Source organism: Homo sapiens, chromosome 15 (genome assembly GCF_000001405.40).
Source record: "Homo sapiens chromosome 15, GRCh38.p14 Primary Assembly".
NCBI classification, from domain to species: Eukaryota; Metazoa; Chordata; class Mammalia; order Primates; family Hominidae; genus Homo; species Homo sapiens.
Window position 1 is genome coordinate 28714777 of NC_000015.10, and position 20768 is coordinate 28735544.

Consider the following 20768-nt stretch of genomic DNA (forward strand, 5'->3'; position numbering starts at 1 on the left):
TGATGATCTATTCAGTGAAAAACACAAGTTGCACATGTCTTACAGAAGGAAAACTTAACACTGAACAAAGATTCTCACCATCTGCTCTTTGTCCTGAGGCTCCAATAGAAATACAGTGAAGAATAAACATTGTATAAGCACACAATTACAAAAAAGGAATGGGGTTACCAACAGAAGAGAATTCATCTTCATTAGACAATGACAGTACATGGAAAATGGTTAATTCATGGAGCAAAGCAACAAAGGTGGAGGTCAGGGGGATACTGAGAACAAGGAGGCTAATCTGTCCCACAGCAACCTGGAAAGGTTCTAGACCCAGACACGAGGTACCCCCGACAGTGGGACTGATAGGCAAGACTGAAAACAGAGATTAAGCAAAAGCCCGGATAGAGAACACATTTCACAGGCCCTGAAACACACTGCTGGCCCCATCTCCTTGAACAGAACCCAAGCAAACGTATCTACCTCAGGCAAGAGAATGTAGATTTTACATCCAGAGGAATGGAGTAGTCATCCAGCCATCATTTAAGATTGCAACAGGAGATAAGATAGAGGGATGGAGGATAACAATTAGGAATCAGCATACATTCCCCTTAAAGCTATCAGTTGACAAGTCTTGGCCACAAAGAACTCCCAATCAATTTTTATTTATTTTTATTTTTATTTATTTATTTTTTTTGAGACAGGGTCTTGCTCCTTCGCCCAGGCTGGAATGCAGGAATGCAGTGGCATGATCAGAGCTCACTGCAGCCTCAACCTCCTGGGCTCAAGCAATCCTCCTGCCTCAGCCTCCCAAGTAGCTGGGACTGCAGATGGGTGTCACCACACCTAGCTATTTTTCTTTTTTTTGTAAAGATGGGGTCTCACTATGTTGCCCAAACTAGTCTTGAGCTCCTGGGCTCAAGTGATCCTCCCACTTCGGTCTCCCAAAGCACTGAGATTATAGGTGTGAGCCACCACACCCCGGCTCCCAGTCTTTTAGTACCTCTCTCAAATATGAATGAGCAAATAAAGGAATGGAAAAAAGACTACAGGTCAGGCACGGTGGCTCATGTCTGTAATCCTGCACTTTGGGAGGCTGAGGTGGGTGGATCACCTGAGGTTGGGAGTTCCAGACCAGACTGACCAACATGGAGAAATCCCATCTCTACTAAAAATACACAAATTAGGTGGGTGTGGTAGCACATGCCTGTAATCCCAGGTACTTGGGAGGCTGAGGCAGGAGAACTGCTTGAACCTTGGAGGCAGAGGTTGTGGTGAGCTGAGATCACATCATTGTACTCCAGCCTAGGCAACAAGAGCGAAACTGGGTCTCAAAAAAAAAAGAAAGACAACAAATGATAAGCAACATAGAATAGATATTTAAGGAAAGGCTTTAAAAAGAAAAATAAGACCAAAATAAACTAAGAAAAAAATTATTAAAGAACAAGGAGATGCCAGGGAGAAGACAAAGAGTATCAAAATCACTTCATAAAGACACTTGTGAATATATTACATGTATAAAACAAAACAATATGAATAAGAAATAATCAGAGAACAAAAAGTTCTTAGAACTCATGCTTCATCCTGGGAGTTGGTCTCCAATGAGCCATACCTCCTGTCATCATGTCCTTAGACAGGCCCATCCCATAGTCAATCTGGGTTGGCCCCAACACTCACTTTAACCTATAGCATGTGGTAGAAATGACACTGGACCTGTTCCAGGTCTAAGCCTTAAGAACTCCTGGCAGCTCCATTTCTGTGCTTCTGGAAGCCAAAAATAAGAATTGGCTACCTTCTTGGAGAAAGAAAAGCCACATGAAGAGATCCAAGAGGATGAGATGCTATGCAGAGAGAAAGGCCACACCAAGAATTACCAAGGCAGCAGACCTGTGGGTGAAGAAGCCGTCTCAGACATTCCACTGCAGCTGAGCATCCAGATGACCAGTCCCTGACACTGTTTAACCACACAGTGAGAGCTGCCAAATGAGACCAGCAGAAAAACTGTCCAGCTAGCCCCAGTTAATCAATACAGTAGTGACAGATAGACATATGTGTAGTTTTACGCCATTAAGTTTTGGGATAATTGGTTAAGCAACAATAAATAACCAAAACAAAACTTAAAGTTATGACAGTCCAAATAAAATTTCCTGAAAGTCAAAAGATAAGAAAATATTCCAGAACTTAAAATTTTAAAAAATTTAGAAATAACGTGAGATACAACACTCAGGACAAGAGGTCTAAAATCCAATTAACAGACACTTCAAAATGAACAAATAAAATGGAAAAGAGAAAGTTAACAACAAAATATGACAAGATTCAAGACTCCAACTTTGAAAGAGCCTATCCATTGGCCTGTTCATTTGGTGTACCCAGCATAATGAATGAAAAAAGACCCACACTAAGTACACTGTTGTGCTATTTCAGCTCACCAAGGAAAAGACAAACTCCTAAAAGCTTCCAGAGAGAAAGTAATGCATAAACAAGTGAAACTCATGATGGCATGAGGCTTCACCACCACGACTGGTTAGAAGACAACAGCACAGACTTTGAAATTCTAAGGTAAAATTATCCTCAACCTAGAAATACATAATCAAGCAAACTATCAATCAAGTGTGAGGGTAGAATATGAGAGACGTGAATACCGATGGGGATGTGATATGCAGCAGGCACTGTTCTAAATGGTTTACATGTACCAACCCAATTAAGAAACTTAAAATACACACACACACACACACACACACACACACAGTTTTTCCTGCTAATCATTTTACGATGAAACAACCAAGCAGCTAACCCAGAGCCCACAAAGGCAGAGTAAAAATTCTAACACTTGGTAAAATAAAAATGGACATATACACCCTGTGATCTAAAAAAAAATGCTTAAATATTCAAAGACAGAGAGCAATTACAGCTACTGAGAACATCACTGTAAGCAAACTGAGGCAGAGAAAACAAAGGTGCTAATGAGGATTTGAACCACCTAACATGCAGAAACCCACTGGATGCTTTCCTAGGTTCCGAGCTGGCATTGTCTTTCAGAATGATCTAGAAGAGGTCACATGACACTGTTACAAAGGATCTGGAGAAAGGGACCCTTGCTTTATCACTCCGGCTCTCCAGTCATGCTTCACATTTTCGCTTCTTACACTCTTTCACATGAAGTCAATTTACAGACCTCCGTCATGCCCCTAGAGACCTTTTTGTAATATTCTGACAAGTTCTGGATGTCATCTCTGCACTTTTGACAAATTCTTAGCAGTTAACTTACAAGACAGTTAACATTTTTGTTCACAGTATAGCTAGAAAAGGGTCATATACTCAATAAAACAAATATTTACCAAGCATTCATTAAGTGGAAGATAAAACGCACAAAGCATAATTATAAAATATTCTCCCCTGCCATGATACAACAAAATTTTTAAAGGCTTACAGAATATAGCATAACATGACCAAAGCAAAAATAGTAAGGACTAAAGAGGGGAGGAAGGGAAAATATCAGCATGAACTGAATATGACCCAGAAGAGTCTTGATGGTCAGACATCTAAAGATGTATTGGGCAGGGTTAAGGGGTGGAAGTCAGGGGCACAGGTCAGGGGCACATTCTACAAGGGAAAAACAGCTGATACAGAAGCCTGAAAGGTAAAGTGGGCAGAGCACCTGTACAGGACTCTTACCTGCCACAGCGAGGGCACAATGCGCCTTTCCAGAACACAGCAGCGCACAGCCAGGCCTGGGGCAGAGGGATCACTCAAACAGCACCAGAGGCTGCATTCCTACTTTTCTTCCGTCAACAAGTCCATTTTCATTGTTAGTTTCTCCTTCAACACAAACTTAAAAACAAATGGCTGAACACGCAGGAACAAGGAAAACCTGACTGAAGAATGAGACGTTAAAACTTAAGGGCCTTAGGTCCTGGCACGGTGGCTCACGCCTGGAATCCCAGCATTTTGGGAGGCAGAGGTGGGTCATTTGAGGTCAGGAGTTCAAGACCAGCCTGGCCAACACGGTGAAACCCCGTCTCTACTAAAAACACAAAAGCTAGCCAGGCGTGGTGGCCAGTGCCTGTAATTTCAGCTACTCGGGAGGCTGAGGCAGGAGAATCACTTTAACCAGTGGACTGTCAAGAGAGGTAGGCTGCAGTGAACCGAGATCGCGCCACTGCACTCCAGCCTGGGCTACACAGTGAAACTCTGTCTCAAAAAAAAAAAAAAAAAGTCATGGTCATGGTAAAAAACCTATGGCTTTGGAAGGCTTTCTCGGTAACGTCCTAGAATTAAGGTTAAGCCTGTGTTTCATGTTAACTGAACAGGAAACCAGCCTGACCAACATCCTTCTGCCCGGTGGCTTGCTCTCAGCTCCTCTTCGTTGGGCCTTGGGCAGCCAGACTGTCTAGTTTTAATCCTTGCTCTGCCACCTGTGACCTTGGACAAGTTACCTACCTTCAGTTACCTCATCTACAAAATGCAGATATTAATAATACCCTCTTTTCAATTTATTCAGAGGATTAAAAGAGTTAATAAAAAGTAAAAAATAAAAAGACTTGGTAAGCATAGGCACAGAGGAAAAAAAAGTAAAAATAAATAATTAAATAAAAAGACCAGTGCCTAGCACATAAAAGTTCATCAGGAATTAATTCTATAATATGAACTCAATTTTGCAAAACTTCAAAGTACATATAACTTTTAACTTACTAGGGTATACATACCAGTAATAAATTTACAACGGTAGACATGTTTGCCTACTGTAAATATAACAAAGACTAAACAAGCAGATACTAAATCATTAAGCAATTATCAGTTAGTATCTTTAATTTTCTTATACTTCTATATTTTCTATACATCATCTTTGTAACAAGAAGAAAACAAACCAAATGAAAATGAAATGAATTCTCTCAAAAAGAATTAAGTCAAGACAGGAAGAAGGCTCGCAAAGTAATATAAAATATATCTTATGGTTTATGTAAAATTCTTAATAAAATACCTTCTTTGCTCCAAGCTGCACTCTGGCTTTGCCTTTGAGTCAGGTGGCATTTCTTTGCACGATGACTGGTTCTATTGAGTAGGCACTGCTTCAGCCCTACAGGAAGAACAAAACCTCTCTGGAACACAGCAGCATTCCTGACTCCCACTTGAGGAGGCCTAACAAAACGGCATATGCCTCAACAGCAGCACATCAGTGTTAAAAAGTCTGGAGTCAAGGGGAAAAAGTAAAATTGGACCATTTCCAGAATCTCACAAAAAGCAACAAACTGACGTTCTAAGTGCCCAACATGAGCAAATTAGAACCTTAAATAAAGGTCACTCTTAATGCCTATCCCGGCATAGATTCAGCACCAAGTACAGTGTCATTTTACTGGTTTACCTTTTTCATTCTTGAAAGTAGGAGCTATGAAAAAAAAACACTAAAATTTCTCTAAGAGAACCTTCTACTTTCTATCTAAATTACATAATCAAAACACTGTATTGAGGGTGAAAATTGAATATTATAAGAAAATAATCACGTGTTTTGCGAGAAGTTGCAAATATAATGCTCCTCCACCCAATACCTACCTTAAAAAGAAAAAAGGAAACATACAAAATTATCTCGAGAATTATTCCTGCTTAAACAATGTCTACGTGCCATTACTAAGTATGCACACAGTAAAGATGAGAAGAGGACATGCAAGCGTGAACATACTTGTTAGGGATATAGGACTATGGGTAATTTAAACATTTTAATGGTATTACTCTCATGTAATTGCTCTGAAATTCTAGTCAGTTGTTTGAAATGGCTCTTAGAACAGAATACTTTGACATTTTTATGATGTCAAAAACTAAGAACTTAGCCCTAAATATTCCAAAGAATAGGTGCAGAAGAACCCGTTTCCTTAAACGGCATTTGAGTATTCTTCACAACTCAAACTTTCTCTCCCATCCTGTGATGGCCGAGAGTTTTTCCTCTGACGACGGCACTGACCTTACCCTATCCAAAATATGAACATCTGCATGGTTTCCTGGTTCAAATTGTTTTTATCCATTCTGTCGTGAGAATCAAATGGTTCAGACCATGCAGCACCTCTCTGGGACTTCTCAAGTCCTTTCTAGATCTGAAGACTATTCTCTGAACCAAAGACAACTTCTGGGGGTGTACCAAATCTCCCTTTAGAAAATTATTAAGATCAAGATGTTTTAACCTTTTAACTCTTTCTCAAACAAAATAAATTCGTTTCTCCTTTACTGTTATTTTAAATTTCAAAATACACAGATAGTATGTCTAAAATAAAATCAAGAGAATGACAGTTTTAGAACACAAACTGTGGTAATTTTGAAAACACAAAAGCTAAGACCACTAATTAGGTCTATGTGGACACCAAGTCCACCACAACCTGTTCTGTCCTCCGGGGCTCTGCCCACGCCTTTCCCTTGCCTGAGATTCCTTCTGCTTCCTACCCTTCCAAATGCTGTATTTCCCCCTGGAAGACTTGCCAAGACCACTCTAACCTGCACATCTCCCATTCCAGCTAACCAAAGGCATCCCTGGGTTGACTAAACCAAATTATTTTGCAGACAAGGCATCTAAAAACTTCCACTGTAGACTATTCACCTTAATAATTGTTATTGTGACATTATTCAATAATAAAATGAGGGAAAGAAGTCCTCTTCAATCCCTTATCCTGGAGAATCCAAGCAAGTATCTTTCCCACTTGCTTTGCCCAAACCCTGGGACCTTTCTAAGTAAAAGTTTAATGGAAGGGAAAGAAAATCTAAAAGAAAAACTCTCCAAAAAATTAAACTCGGGCAAAGAATCATGGGATTAAAAATTTTTATTCTTTGTGTATTTGATTTCCGAAACATAGAAATCTCTCTCCCACTCCTTAAACCTGCCACTGGGCTAAGAGAGTATTGTACAGAATATGCACTCACTGACTTAACAGAATTAGAACATCCAGGCACTCACTGAGATTTTGCTGCCACAACCGCTCAAAGTCTAGTCATTAGTTCATGAGTTAACACCACACTTGATCTTCAAATTTTCGAAATGCTGACGGTAGACAGGGACTTGTTTTGGGAAAGGAAGTACACAGTAGACATTGTTACCCATGACCCAACCACCACCACCTTTCCTTTAAAGAACCCCACTCTTCCTTTAAGGTTGCAGAGTCTCAGAAAGTGGGAAGAAAGGAAGTTTTTGCATTTTCAGGTCAAAACGAAGTACATTTGTGCAACCACATAATGCCCATGCAAAGGTCTGTTGAAATCTAAACACAAGACAGAAGTAGTTCTAGCACCTCCACAAAAAGTAGGGTAAGTAAACTTTTCCTTAATATACACTTTCAGCAGCATCAACACCTAAAAGTGGTTGACTTTACTACTGTACTAAATTAAATTACATTCATTTTGTCAATAGGTGTTCCAAATTCATACTGATCTTTGTCTCCAAGGGGTTCCTGCTGAATATTGAGACAGTTGAAGATTACTAGGGGAAAAAATTCTTAATAATCGAAGTAAGGATCATCTAAGGATAATATGCCACATATACAGACACAGTCACATTTTCAGCTTTACAAAAGTTCAGTTATCAAAGTTGTACAGCAAACACTATCCTAAGCTTAGCGTCTTCAGGCATTTGATTTATAATCACTGTAAAGAAAAATCAGTCACAAAATGCCACTTTTGTATGATTCTATTTATATGAAATGCCCAGGATAGGCAAATCTACAGAGATAGAAGTTAGATCAGAGGTTGCCAGGATCAATGGTGGGGGAGAGAGGTACAGGGAGTGACTGCTAGTGGGTACGGGGTTCTTTTTGGGGAGATGAAAATGTTCTGAAATTAGGGAGTGGTAATGGCTGCATAACTCTGAATATACTAAAAACCACTGAACTGTACACTTGAAGGGTGAGGCTTATCATACAAAAACTGTATCACAATAAAGCTCTTAGTTTAAAAAATGTTTGTCTATGTCAAGAAACAAAGAAATAGGGTCATAGCTAGAAGATATGGGATATAAAATACTGGAACAAAACTGCTTAATAATATATCTAGAATCACACAATGGTTAGTCTGTACGCTGACTAAAATCGCGAGATTTGTGTTTTATCGGTATTTCACATTTTTTACTTCTTCTAAGTCAGCCAGTAATTCCTCCTTCTCACCTAAGCATTGACTACAAAGACCAAGCCATTTTGACTCTGCCACCGATGAGCTTTCACATTTCTTTCCTCCTTCCATTCCCATGACTACCAAACCAGTGTAGGTTCTCCTCACTTCACTCTAAGACAACAGCGTGGCCCTCAAATACTGTCACACTCTTCAAGGCTCTGTGAGCACAATCTGTCTCATATTCTCTTCTGCTGTCACCAGATTTATTCTAAGACCGTTTCTTCACTGTTACTCCCCTGTTTCTCAACCAGTTACACAGAAAGATGAATATCCAGGCATGGTGTCATGTGCCTGTAGTCCCAGCTACTCAGGAGGCTGAGGCGGCAGGATCGCTTGAGAATGTGAGATTCAGACTGCAGTGAGCCATGATCATGCCACCGCACTCCAGCCTGGGCAACAGAGTGAGATTGTCTCAATAAATAAATAAATAAATAAATAAATAAATAAATGTGGTCTATCCATGCAACGGAATACTATAAAATTATCAGCCTTAAAAAAGAAAGAAGCCCTGTCACATGCTGCAATATAGATGAACCTTGAAAACATTACACTAATTGAAATCAGCCCATCACACAAAGACAAATGCTGTACGATTTCTCTTACATTAGGTTTGAAATTAGTCAAACTCATAGAAACAGAAAATAGAGCGGTTGTTTCCATAAGCCAGGGGATAGAGAAATGGGGAGTTGTTGTATAGTGGCTATAGTTTCAGTTCTCCAAGAGAAGCAAGTTCTAGAAACTCGTTACTCAACATGTATATTTTTAACACTACTGCACTGTATACTTACAAGTGGTTAATATGGTAAATTTTATGTTGTGCCTTATCACCATAATGTTTTTAAAAGAAGGGGTTTGTGTTTCCCTTCGTTGTGATCACCCATTTTTCACTTCAGCATTTTGAACTTGAGATTTCCTGTAGCGGTTTTACTGAGCCCTGCAGTTACCGGCTCAGAATGTCTCCACCACCTTGTAACCTTGTAGGCAGACACTTTTCAGCATCTTATTGGGCTCCGTGTGCTTGATGCTTAAAGTGACATGGAGACATGCCACTTGCTGAGAAGCAAAGAAAGGCAAAAGGTGACTGCTTTCCTGGCATCGATGAAGGCAGAGAGAAGGGATCTTGGAGGCACAGATATTAAGCCATAAGCAATAACATGGGTTGCCAAAAAGAGAACTAACCCCTCTCCTGGTAACATTTCCAGGTGTTTTTCACAGGGCCAGTGGATTTCACAACGCGAGTGCTGTCCAGCACCAAAGGGAATGGCCAACAGGCATGGAGCAGCCTGCAGCATCCAGCACCCAGGAGGATGACCGGCATGCATGGAGCAGCCTACAGCGTCCAGCACTCAGTAGGATGGCCAGGAGGCATGGAGCAGCCTGCCTGTCCCAGGAAAGCAGGAGTCACAGGACACAACTGGACCCAGGTAGGCATGTATGTTAGTTTCCTGTGGCTGTTAGAGCAAATTACCAAAAATTTGGTGACTTAAAACAACAGAAATTTATTTTCTCACAGTTTTGGATATCAGGAGTCCAAAATCAGTATCACTGGGCTGAAATCTAGGTATCAGCAGAGCCAGTGCTCTCAGAGGCTGAGGGGAAAATCCATCCTTTGACTTTCGCAGCTTCTGATGGCTGCTGGCATTCATTGTCTTGCAGCTCCACCACTCCAGGCTCTGCCTCCTTGGTCACAGGGCCTCCTTCTCTTCTGTCTGAAGTTAAATCTCCTTTATCTCCCTCTTATAAGGATATATGTGCCAGGATTTAATGCCCACGGAGACAATCCAGGATAATCTCTCCTCAAGATCCTTAACTTAATCATACCTGAAAATATGCTTTTTCCAAATGAGGTAACATCTACAGGTTCTAGGAATTAGGACTTAATTATTAGCTCCCACTTATAAGTGAGAACATGCAGTATTTGGTTTTCTGTCTCTGTGTTAGTTTCCTGAGGATTATGGCCTCCAACTGCATCCATGTTGCTGAAAAGGACATGATTTTGTTCCTTTTTATAGCTTCATAGTATTCCATGATATATATGTCCCACATTTTCTTAAAAAGAGATTTATTATGGGGTCATGGCTTACATTATTATGAAGGCAAAGAATGTGCCATCTGGAAGCTGGAACACTCAGAAAAATTGGTGATTTAATTCTGTCCAAGTCAGAAGGCCTGAGAACCAGGAGAGCTGATGGTGTACATCCCAGTCCCAGGACAGAAGATGAGATGTCCCAGCACAAGCAAAGAGGCAGAAAGAAAGGGGGCAAATTTCCCCTTCCTCCCTTTGTTCTACTCAAGCCCTCACCAGGTTGGATGATGTCCATCTCCATGGGGCCATCTACGTTACTGAATTCACTGACTCAAAAGCTAAAGTCACCTGGAAACACTCACAAACACACCCAGAAACAATGTTTAATCCGAGCACCCTGTGGCCCAGTCAAGATGGCACATAAAATTTACCCTCACAGTGTAATCCCAGGAGCGAGGCAGATCGCTTGAGACTGGGAGTTCCAGACCTGCCTGGGCAACATGGTGAAACCTGTTTTTTTGTTGTTGTTTGTTTGTTTTTCAGATAGAGTTTCGCTCTTGGTGCCCAGGCTGGAGTGCAATGACGGCTCACCGCAACCTCCACCTCCCGGTTTTAAGTGATCCTCCCGCCTCAGCCTCCCAAGTGGCTGGGATTGCAGGAGTGAGCCACCATGCCTGGCTAATTTTTTTTTTTTTTTTGGTGGAGACAGTTTTCTCCATATTGGTCAGGCTAGTCTCAAACTCCCGACCTCAGGTTATCCACCCACCTCAGCCTCCCGGGGGTGCTGGGATTGCAGGCGTCAGCCGCCGTGCCCGGCGCAATTTATTAATCAGAAAGGAATAGATCGGCCTGGCGTGGTGGCTCACCCTTGTGATCCCAGGATTTTGGACGGCCGAGCGCAGCGGATCACTTGAGCCTAGGAGTTCCAGACCAGCCTGGACAACATGGTGAAACATGGTCTTTTTTTTTTTTTTTTTTTTTTTTTTTTGAGTGGAGTTTCGCTCTTGTTTTCCAGGCTGGAGTGCAGTGGCACGGTCTCGACTCACCGCGGCCTCCACCTCCCGGTTAGGTGGTTCTCCTGCCTAAGCCTCCTGAGTGGCTGGGATTGCAGGCATGAGCCACCATGCCAGCTAATTTTGGTGTTTTTTTTTTTTGTACAGACGGGGTTTCTCCGTGTTGGTCGGGCTGATCTCAAGCACCTGACCTTGGGTGATCCACCTGCCTCCACCTCCCTGGGTGCTGGGATTGCAGGCGTGAGCCACCATGCCCGGCTTTTTTTTTTTTTTTTTTTAAGAGACGGGGTTTCTCACTTTTGGTCAGGCTGGTCTCAAACTGTGGACCTCAGGTGATTCGCCCGCCTCGCCTCCCGGGGTGCTGGGATTGCAGGCGTGAGCCACCACACCCAGTCCAATTTATTAATCAGAAAGGAATAGATCGGCCTGGCGTGGTAGCTCATGCTTGTGATCCCAGTACTTTGGACGGCCGAGAGCAGCGATCGATTGAGCCTAGGACTTCCAGACCGGCCTGGGCAACGTGGTGAAACACTGTCTTTTTTTTTTTTTTTTTTTTTTTTTTTAGTGGAGTTTTGCTCGTTTTCCAGGCTGGAGTGCAGTGGCGTGGTCTCGACTCACCGCGGCCTCCACCTCCTGGGTTTAGGTGGTTCTCCTGCCTCAGCCTCCTGAGTGGTTGGGATTGCAGGCATAAGCCACCATGCCAGCTAATTTTGGTTTTATTTTTTTGGTACAGACGGGGTTTCTCCGTGTTGGTTGGGCTGATCTCGAGCTCCTGACCTCGGGTGATCCGCCCGCCTCCGCCTCCCTGGGTGCTGGGATTGCAGGCATGAGCCACCGCGCCCCCGGTCCAATTTAGTAACCAGAAAGGAATAGATCGGCCTGGCGTGGTGCCTCCCCCTTGTGATCCCAGGACTTTGGAAGGCAGAGTGCGGCAGATCGCTTGAGCCTAGGAGTTCCAGACCGCCTGGGCAACATGGTGAAACCCGGTCTCTGTTTTGAGACGGAGTTTCACTCTTGTTGTCCAGGCTGGAGTGCAATGGTGTGATCTTTGCTCACCGCAACCTCGGCCTCCCGGATTTAGGTGATTCTCCTGCATAGGCCTCCCTAGTAGCTGGGATTACAGGCATGAGACACCATATCCGGCTAATTTTGTAGATTTTTTTTTTTTTTTTTTTTTTTTTTTAGTAGAGACGGGATTTCTTCATGTTTGTCAGGCTGGTCTCCGACCTCGGGTGATCCGCCCACCTCTGCCTTCCAAAGTGCTGGGATTGCAGGCCTGAGCCACTGCGCCCGGCGGAAACCCAGAACAGAAAAACAAAACAAAAACCACAAAGATTAGCCGGGTGTGGTGGGCCGCGCAGGTAGTCCCAGCTACTCTGAAGGCTGATGGAGGAGGATTGCTTCACCCCAGCTTCTAGGTGGCAGTGAGCTATGATGGCGCTGCTGCACTCCAGACTGGGCGACAGAGCGGGACTCTGTGGCAGGAAAAGGGAAAGGAAAAAAAAAGAAAAAGAATGTAAATAAAATTGCTAACTCAAGGAACAGCTTGACAGTATATTATTGCGACAAATAGAGGCAAAGGTTAGCAGACACCAGTGTTCACTTAGTGGGAACTGCAGGTGTTCCCCCCATAGGAGGCTGCTACTTTCCCACAAGAAATCCATTACTGACTACCGATAAAAGAACACATTGTAGGTTTCTTACAATATATAAATAGCTAAACTTTATATAGCCACGACCATATTCTAGCACTGCTCTAAGCCTTTTCCTGCTCTGAAATAGCTACTATTGTTACCTCCATTGTAGAGAAAACAGGTGCCGGAGGCTGTTGTGGAAGGACCAGAGAAACTGACTATGAAATTGACTTGTTGTAAGTTTCAGACTTAAAAGTTCTTCCTGCTCTGCTCCTTCCATTGCCACATTTTAGTTAAGGTACCTCTTACAATACTGGTCCTTTCTGTATTTGGAGGGACTTCTCTTGCAAATTGAAGTTTTTTCTTGCGCTAAGCATTTGGTCATGAGATTATCTGCGTTTTACATCAGTTTAAGTACCTCTTTAGACATTGTTCAGTTAGGAATGTAAATAGGAGCTAACATTGTGTGTAAAAGGAAAGAACATCTGATTACAACCACTTTTGTTTCATAATACAAATATAAATCAATATGTTATTGGAAATGCAGGCTGGGAGGGGAGGGAAAATATGCATACAGAAAAGCCCCATCTCTGCTTGGAGTTCAGCACTGGGTCTCTTTTTCCTTTCCACCTTCCTTGTCAAGGCTGCCACAGTGACAAGCACACAGAGGTGCCTTCAGTGACACCTGCTGGGACAGACCTGGCAGAACGGATTGCAGATTTGCATGTTTCCTGGCTGCCTCTGCTAGCCTGAGTCAGCAGCCCACTCCAATTCATGCTGAGCTTAGACAGCTCAGGTTTGCAAAATTATCCCTTCCCTTGGAGCAACCGCTTTCCAGTCTCCTCATCATTCCTAAAGGAGAATGATATACATGCCAGCATGACAGAGGTCCAGAAATTTATAGAAGCTTCACTGTGAGCCTATATCCTTAACAGGGGCTCAAACTACCAACACCGAATGAAGAGAGAGGTTTTGCAGTAAAGCAGGAAGTCATTAAAATAATGAATCACCCAGCTAGGTTTTGAGCTCCTTTTCCACCAATTTAATGGAAAGTTTTATTGTCTTTCCAATGTACACTTTCATAAATTTTCCATAAATTTATTATTCACATCTTAACATAGGTAACTCCTTTGTGTTTGATCACTGAGCAAATTATACGCAGCAAAACAATCCTATATTTTGGTGAACTCATAGCTTAGAAAATACTAAAGACTCATTGTAAGCTGAGGGCAGCATTAAGCAAATTATATTTACCTTTGTGACTGCAAAACTTAATGATTCAATGCTTTTCCCATGAAATTTATCTTCCAATACTGATAGTTTTTTAAACAAAAAATATGAATTAAATATCAATTAAAATTTTATCATTGTTTTCAGAAACTGTGACTTCACTAGTTATGAACAGACTTGAAATGTATAGTTTTTAAGTTTGGAAATTCTTTGTAGTTTCATTTACTTTTCCAGGAAGGGAGTGAGATATTTTTTGCCACTGTTGCCTGGTTTTTGTTTGGTTTTTGATCATAAACAAAACTTAATGGAGCCTCAAATCTACTAACTCGGTCCTCCTCTGGCAATATGCCTTTTTCTGATTTCTAGATATCACTTGATATTTTTAACACACTAATTTTATTATTTAAAAATTTATAAAAGTACTCAGAAGTAAGAAGCAAATTAAATTTGAAACCTTAGTAGTAATACCATCATCCAAAGTCATCATCAATAATATTTTGGCATATTTTATTTTAAAATACATTTCAGCACAGTTTAGTTACATTTGTTATATCTGTATCAATAAACTGTTTTCATATGTCATTACTTTTATGGATATAATTTTTGACGTGTGACTAATACTAAATCTTACATACTTGCTGTAGTTGACCTTGTGAGACATTTAGATTTTCAACTGTTTAGTACTTTAATAACCAGTTTTTATTCTAATATCATTATTAGAATAATAATATTACTATAGTATTATTATTATTATTGTAGCAATAACTTGTTTTTAGAATAAATATCCTATTTCTCATTTAACTTGATTGGATCCGTGCACGGACAATTATGTTGGGAACATAGAATGTAACTGGCCCTGTTTCAACCCCTTAGATGTGGCCCTCAGTTTAGGGAAGGGAGGAGTTCTCTACTGGGCTGATAAAGCAGAATTCAGAAACATTGTTTTCTTCTTTACCTGGTGTTTTACAAAACCAGATGTGAGTGTGACTTGTAAAGGCAAGAGCATGTATATTATGCAAAAGCAGCCTGAAATATTTTATTCACAGATAGACAGACAATGCTTGACTCCCTGCTAATCTGAAATACTTCATGGGGAGGGCCAGGGAAATCAAAACAAAATTTCAGAAGTAGAATGAGCTATTTGGTGTATGTCTCCAAGGCCAATAAATAACAAGAAGGAAAAATAAATTTCTTTGCTAACAACAAGAAGGAGAAATAAACTTTTTTGCTCTAAAACATTTTCCAATTATCTCCATGACACTGGAGGGAAGGACTAACAAAAAAAAAAAAAGAAAGAAAGAAAAAAAAAAGAAAAGGAAAAAAAAAGGTGGGGCATGGTAGCTCATGCCTGTAATCCCAGCACTTTGGAAGGCCAAGGCAGGTGGATCACAGGGTCAGGAGGTTGAGACCATCCTGGCCATCCTGGCTAACACGGTGAAACCCCGTCTCTACTAAAAATACAAAAAATTTGCCAGGCGTGGTGGCGCCCGCCTGTAGTCCCAGCTACTTGGGAGGCTGAGGCAGGAGGATGGTGTGAACCCAGAAGATGGAGTTTGCAGTGAGCCGAGATCCCGCCACTGCACTCTAGCCTTGGCTACAAAGCGAGACTCTGTCTCCAAAAAAAAAAAAAAAAGTTCCCAATGCACAAATCAATCAAGAATTTCACCCCCAACAGTGAAAAAAATTGTGAAAGCAGTCAGGTTTTAGTCACTGTAAATCACAATTTCAATTCCACCCATCCAAAGAAAGCTATGTACATCCTTCTCATTCCAAATACATACAGGCCATGAGTTAATAATCTTTCATTCTTCTAAAATATCAACAGATTTGCTTTTTTACTTTCATTTGTAGTTTATAGCACTCACAATTAAATTGATCCAAATGTATTTGAGGTACTATATATATACATATATATATATATATATATATATATATATATATATATGGATCAAAGGTCAATGCTATTGTCTATGCATTAGCCACTCCCATTTATGAGAATTTTCTGAACTTGTTGCTATATATCTCTTAAATGGTGTCCGTTGGCCACATTTCTTTCCTGAGAAACAACTGAGCAGCTGACAATGGAAATGAAGCTCTCTGCATTCCTGTTAGGCATACTGCATACATCTTAGGCTCTCTGCATGCCTCTTAGGCACTTACATTTACATATATTTGTATCTCATTACATAGTGATACAGTCCTAAAATAAATAATGAGTTATTTTCTAGACTAATTTGATGAGGCTTTTATTTGATAACAAATTAAAATTATGCCACCAGATGCCTATACTTTGACTTATAAAATGTGTTGTGTTCTGCATGGGCAAACAGAAAGTGCAGAAATTGAACGGCTGCCTGGTAAAATTACCTAAATCCACAATGCCACTGGACAACATTGAACTAGATATTTAAATAAGTGAAAGTAATCAAGTAGTTGAGTTCACTGATAAAATTATACTTGGAATCTTACATCATTCCCAGATTAATATATACAATGTATATCAAATGTCATTGCTATGGGAATGGAAACTGTTACACATGAGGTTAAATTTTTATAAAGAATTTTTTTTCCTCTAGAACTGACATTGAGAAACTTGATACCCTCTCTTTATGGCATGTCTTAAGAAAATGTCAACCCAATGTCAAAGGATAATTAATTTTTTTAAAGAAAAGAAAAATAATGGTTCTCATACAAATGTAAAATGAATATATGTTCATGATTTTATTTAACTGATTAATAAATAAGAGTGCCACAGGATGTTTTAACTGGTTCAAAGGAGAATACAAAGAGAATATATAGGCAGACATTCATGCTGAAATGAATTTGCTTAATAAAGGCAAAACTAGCCAATATCCATAGGGTGATGGTCAAATATATCTACACTGGATAATTTGCATTTTCATGGACAGGAATTATTTGCAATTTACACAGTTGTGAAATAGGTAAAACAAACAAAAAGTGAAAGGTTCAGAAACCCCATACAATCAGCTAAACTAACATTTAGTTTTCCATTGAAAATATTTAGCAATTTTTTGAGACAATTTCAAAGTTTTTCTTAATTTTTCTCTGCTCTAAACAAGTATATAAATTATTTCCAATGAAAATTAGAGCTTTTTCTTTGTTGAATTAGTGTTTTGAAAAATTTATGGAAGGAGACGGAACATAAAAGCAGTTGCCAAGTTTATCAATTAAGTTGGTACGATTACAAATCCCAATTGAGAAATATTTTTAAGTATATTTTTCTTTCCAAGACAAATAGACATTTAAACAGTCCTAATGTTCATATCCTTTATGTTACATATATATGTATAGATGTGTAAGTATATGTATATCTACATGTATATAAAAAGACACAAACTCACATAGTTATTTCAGAGAATTATTTATGGAAATGTGTTGGGTTTTCTTTTTGTGAAGCTATGTTATCAAGAAGTTATTCTTAGTTTTACAGAAAATAAAACAGCTCTGGCTCTTTGTATCATAAGATAAATATCTGTTTATAAATATCAGTATTTTCTAATACTTCTAATGTACTCTTTTGGAGGTAATGGTATATGAAACCCTATAAGAGCAATTCTACTTCATTAATTAATTCGGAAGAAACACAAGTTTTTAAGACCCAGTGTATGCCAATAATTGACAAAGTCATTAAGGTAGACAAAGATGGGTAGAGCCTGGGCTTTGGCTATGAATGTTAGAAAATGAATCACTGAAAGTAAAACATGTTTAAAAGATTAAAATAACAAAAAATGGTTTGAAATTAATTTCAGTTATTGGCCATCAATTGGTTAGAATGAGTAATTAAGAATGAGTCGAAGCTTTTTTCTCTTCATTTATGTCAAATATGTCATAAAAATAGTCAATTTTAGATTATTATAAGTCAATTATGTCAAAATGGTTGAATGACATGTCATTGAAATTAATCTTTAGCTTGTAATGCTATCATTTCAGTTTTAATTAATATTGGGGCCAAAATGTTCATTAGATACTGTTTTTAATGATCAGTTTTTATGCAAATGATTTATATAAGTCAGAACTTCAATTCAATGTTTGGTAGCTGTTTGATTTTTAGGACATTATATATTGAAATGTACACTGATTATCCTAAAGTTGTAAATATTTAAGAAACTTTACAGCAAAAAGTCTAAAATAAAGATATATTTATATTATTTCCAAAACAGAAAATTTAAATTGATTCCCTAGTCAAAGAAACTGTTTGTAAATAAAATGTAACAAACTATATATTCCTTGGCCCCCAGACAGTTTAAAGTCACTTTTCCTTTTTATATACATGTTCTAATATTATAAACAGTGAGCTCAGGAATACCCTAATTTGTCTTTTGTATATTTTCAGCAGATTGTGCTGTTTCAAATTATATTATTTTACTCCAATTCTTTTGTTTACATATTGCTTTTTTTGCTAGCGTTTTTCATATTTTAAAATATATTACTATATTGTATATAGTAATATTGTGTTTCTCTTTCTTCATGTTTTATTTTGTTCCATAACCTTTGGCTTGTCCTTTTTATTCCATATTCCCATTTGTAGATGTAGTTTTCAAAGGTGCTTATTTACACAAACTTAAGACTCTTGGGCCAGGCGTGGTGGCTCACACCTGTAACCCCAGCACTGTGGGAGGCCAAGACGGGCGGATCACAAGATCAGGAGATTTGAGACCATCCTGGCTAACATGGTGGAACCCCGTCTCTACTAAAAATACAAAAAAAAAAATTAGCCGGGCATGGTGGCGGACGCCTGCAGTCCCAGCTACTAGGGAGGCTGATGCAGGAGAATGGCGTGAACCCGAGAGGCGGAGCTTGCAGTGAGCCGAGATCGCGCCATTGCACTCCAGCCTGGGCGACAAAGCGAGACTCCGTCTCAAAAAAAACAAAAAAACAAAAAACTTTTGAACCAAAATATTCTGAATGAGATCAAAGTCAAAGCTCAAACGTTTCTTAAAAATGAGGTTTTTCTGAGTTGGGAACCAGAGTCATCTATTGCCCAATGCAGTAGGCATTGAGAATAGAACTTGCGACAACTCTCTGTGCATTAACAATAGAAAAAATGGGATAAGATAGAGGCAAGGAACATACATTCACGGAGCAAGAGGAAACACTGAAGAACTAATAGAAATTGGGCTTATTAAAATAAACTTACCAAGGTATGGTACCAATTCTCCTTTTTTTGTTCAGTCCATAATAGAGTTCTTAATGCTTTCAAATTTTTTCTTATAATAGTTTTCCTAAATATATTTCATTTATTTATTTGTTTGTTTGTTTTTTACATGGTGTCTTGCTTCATCGCCCAGGCTGGAGTGCAGTGGTGCGATCTCGGCCTACTGCAACCTCCGCCTTGTGGGTTCAAGCAATTCTCCTGTCTCACCCTCCTGAGTAGCTGGGACTACAGGTGCCCGCCACCACACCTGGCTAATTTTTGTATTTTTAGTAGAGACGGTATTTCACCTTGTTGGTCAGGCTGGTCTTAAACTCCTGACCTCAGGTGATCCACCCGATTCGGCCTCCCAAAGTGATGGTATTACAGGTGTGAGTCACTGCGCCCGGCCCTAAATCTATTATTTAAAAATCCACCTATACAATTGGTATTCACAGAAATTGCCCATATATGTTATTATTTTATTCTCATAACTCTCTATGCCAAGTATAGATACATTATTGATGTGGAAAATTAGATCACAGAGATAAAGTGACTTTCCCAAGGTCAGTGCAGAAAGGGAAAGGTGAAAATTTGAACTTGTACCTGAAGAGTAAGAGCAAAGGGGTTAAGGAGTTACTCATATATCTTTGTGCTTCAGAGGTCCTTACTGAGAGTTTTAATCCAAATGGTTTGGTAAATCTGGGGCAACAGCTATAACATGGCTTATGTGATGCTTAGTGTTTTGGAACCATCAAGATCTTTGCAATGGCATCACCGATAACAACCCCATCATCTTGTAAAACATGGACATGTTGGGAAATAATGTTTTAGTTCAGTCATTGAACTGACCCAAACTTCTGTGTTCATATTTTTATAGACCTCATGATTGTTAAGATATAAAGAAGCATCAGAAGTTTTGTTTTTGTTTTTAATTACAAAGGAGTTAGGATATTCCTAACATCCAAAGTGAATTAAAATAATTCACTTTGATGTGAGAAAGAGCTTCTTGTCTTAGGGACACTGGTGAGGTGAATTCACAACTATGGGTTGTTTTAATTGAATTACATCCTCAGAGGTTTAGTTTTGAGCTCTGAATCTACAATCTGTATTTTGCAAGTAATCAATGGTATTTATTTAAGTTCTCTTGGTAAAGATAATGTGAATAGGGAAATCTGCTTATTTCTAGCATAAAATTGTTTATTAAGCAAAATAATAGCACTGCAAATTAACTAGTAAAATGAAATCTTTAACTTTCACACCTTCATTTGATATTTACTGAATATTTTGGGGACTAGCTTATATGTAATTTAGCTCAACTTTTGTTTAAAATAGGAAACTGAACTTTGAAAATAAGTACTTTTAAAAATATTTTAGAATGCAAAATAGTTTTCATGGAAACTTTCATGGAATAATATTCTTTATATTTTAGAATCAAGGTATGTTCCTACTTGGTATTTAATCAAGGAAATACCTAAATCAAGAACAATTCCAAATGGCTGTTTATTAAGTGTGATGGTTTACTAATGTCAACAAAAGTGAAAAAAATCATATTGAAGTATAAATAGTAATCTTGTTTAACATATTTA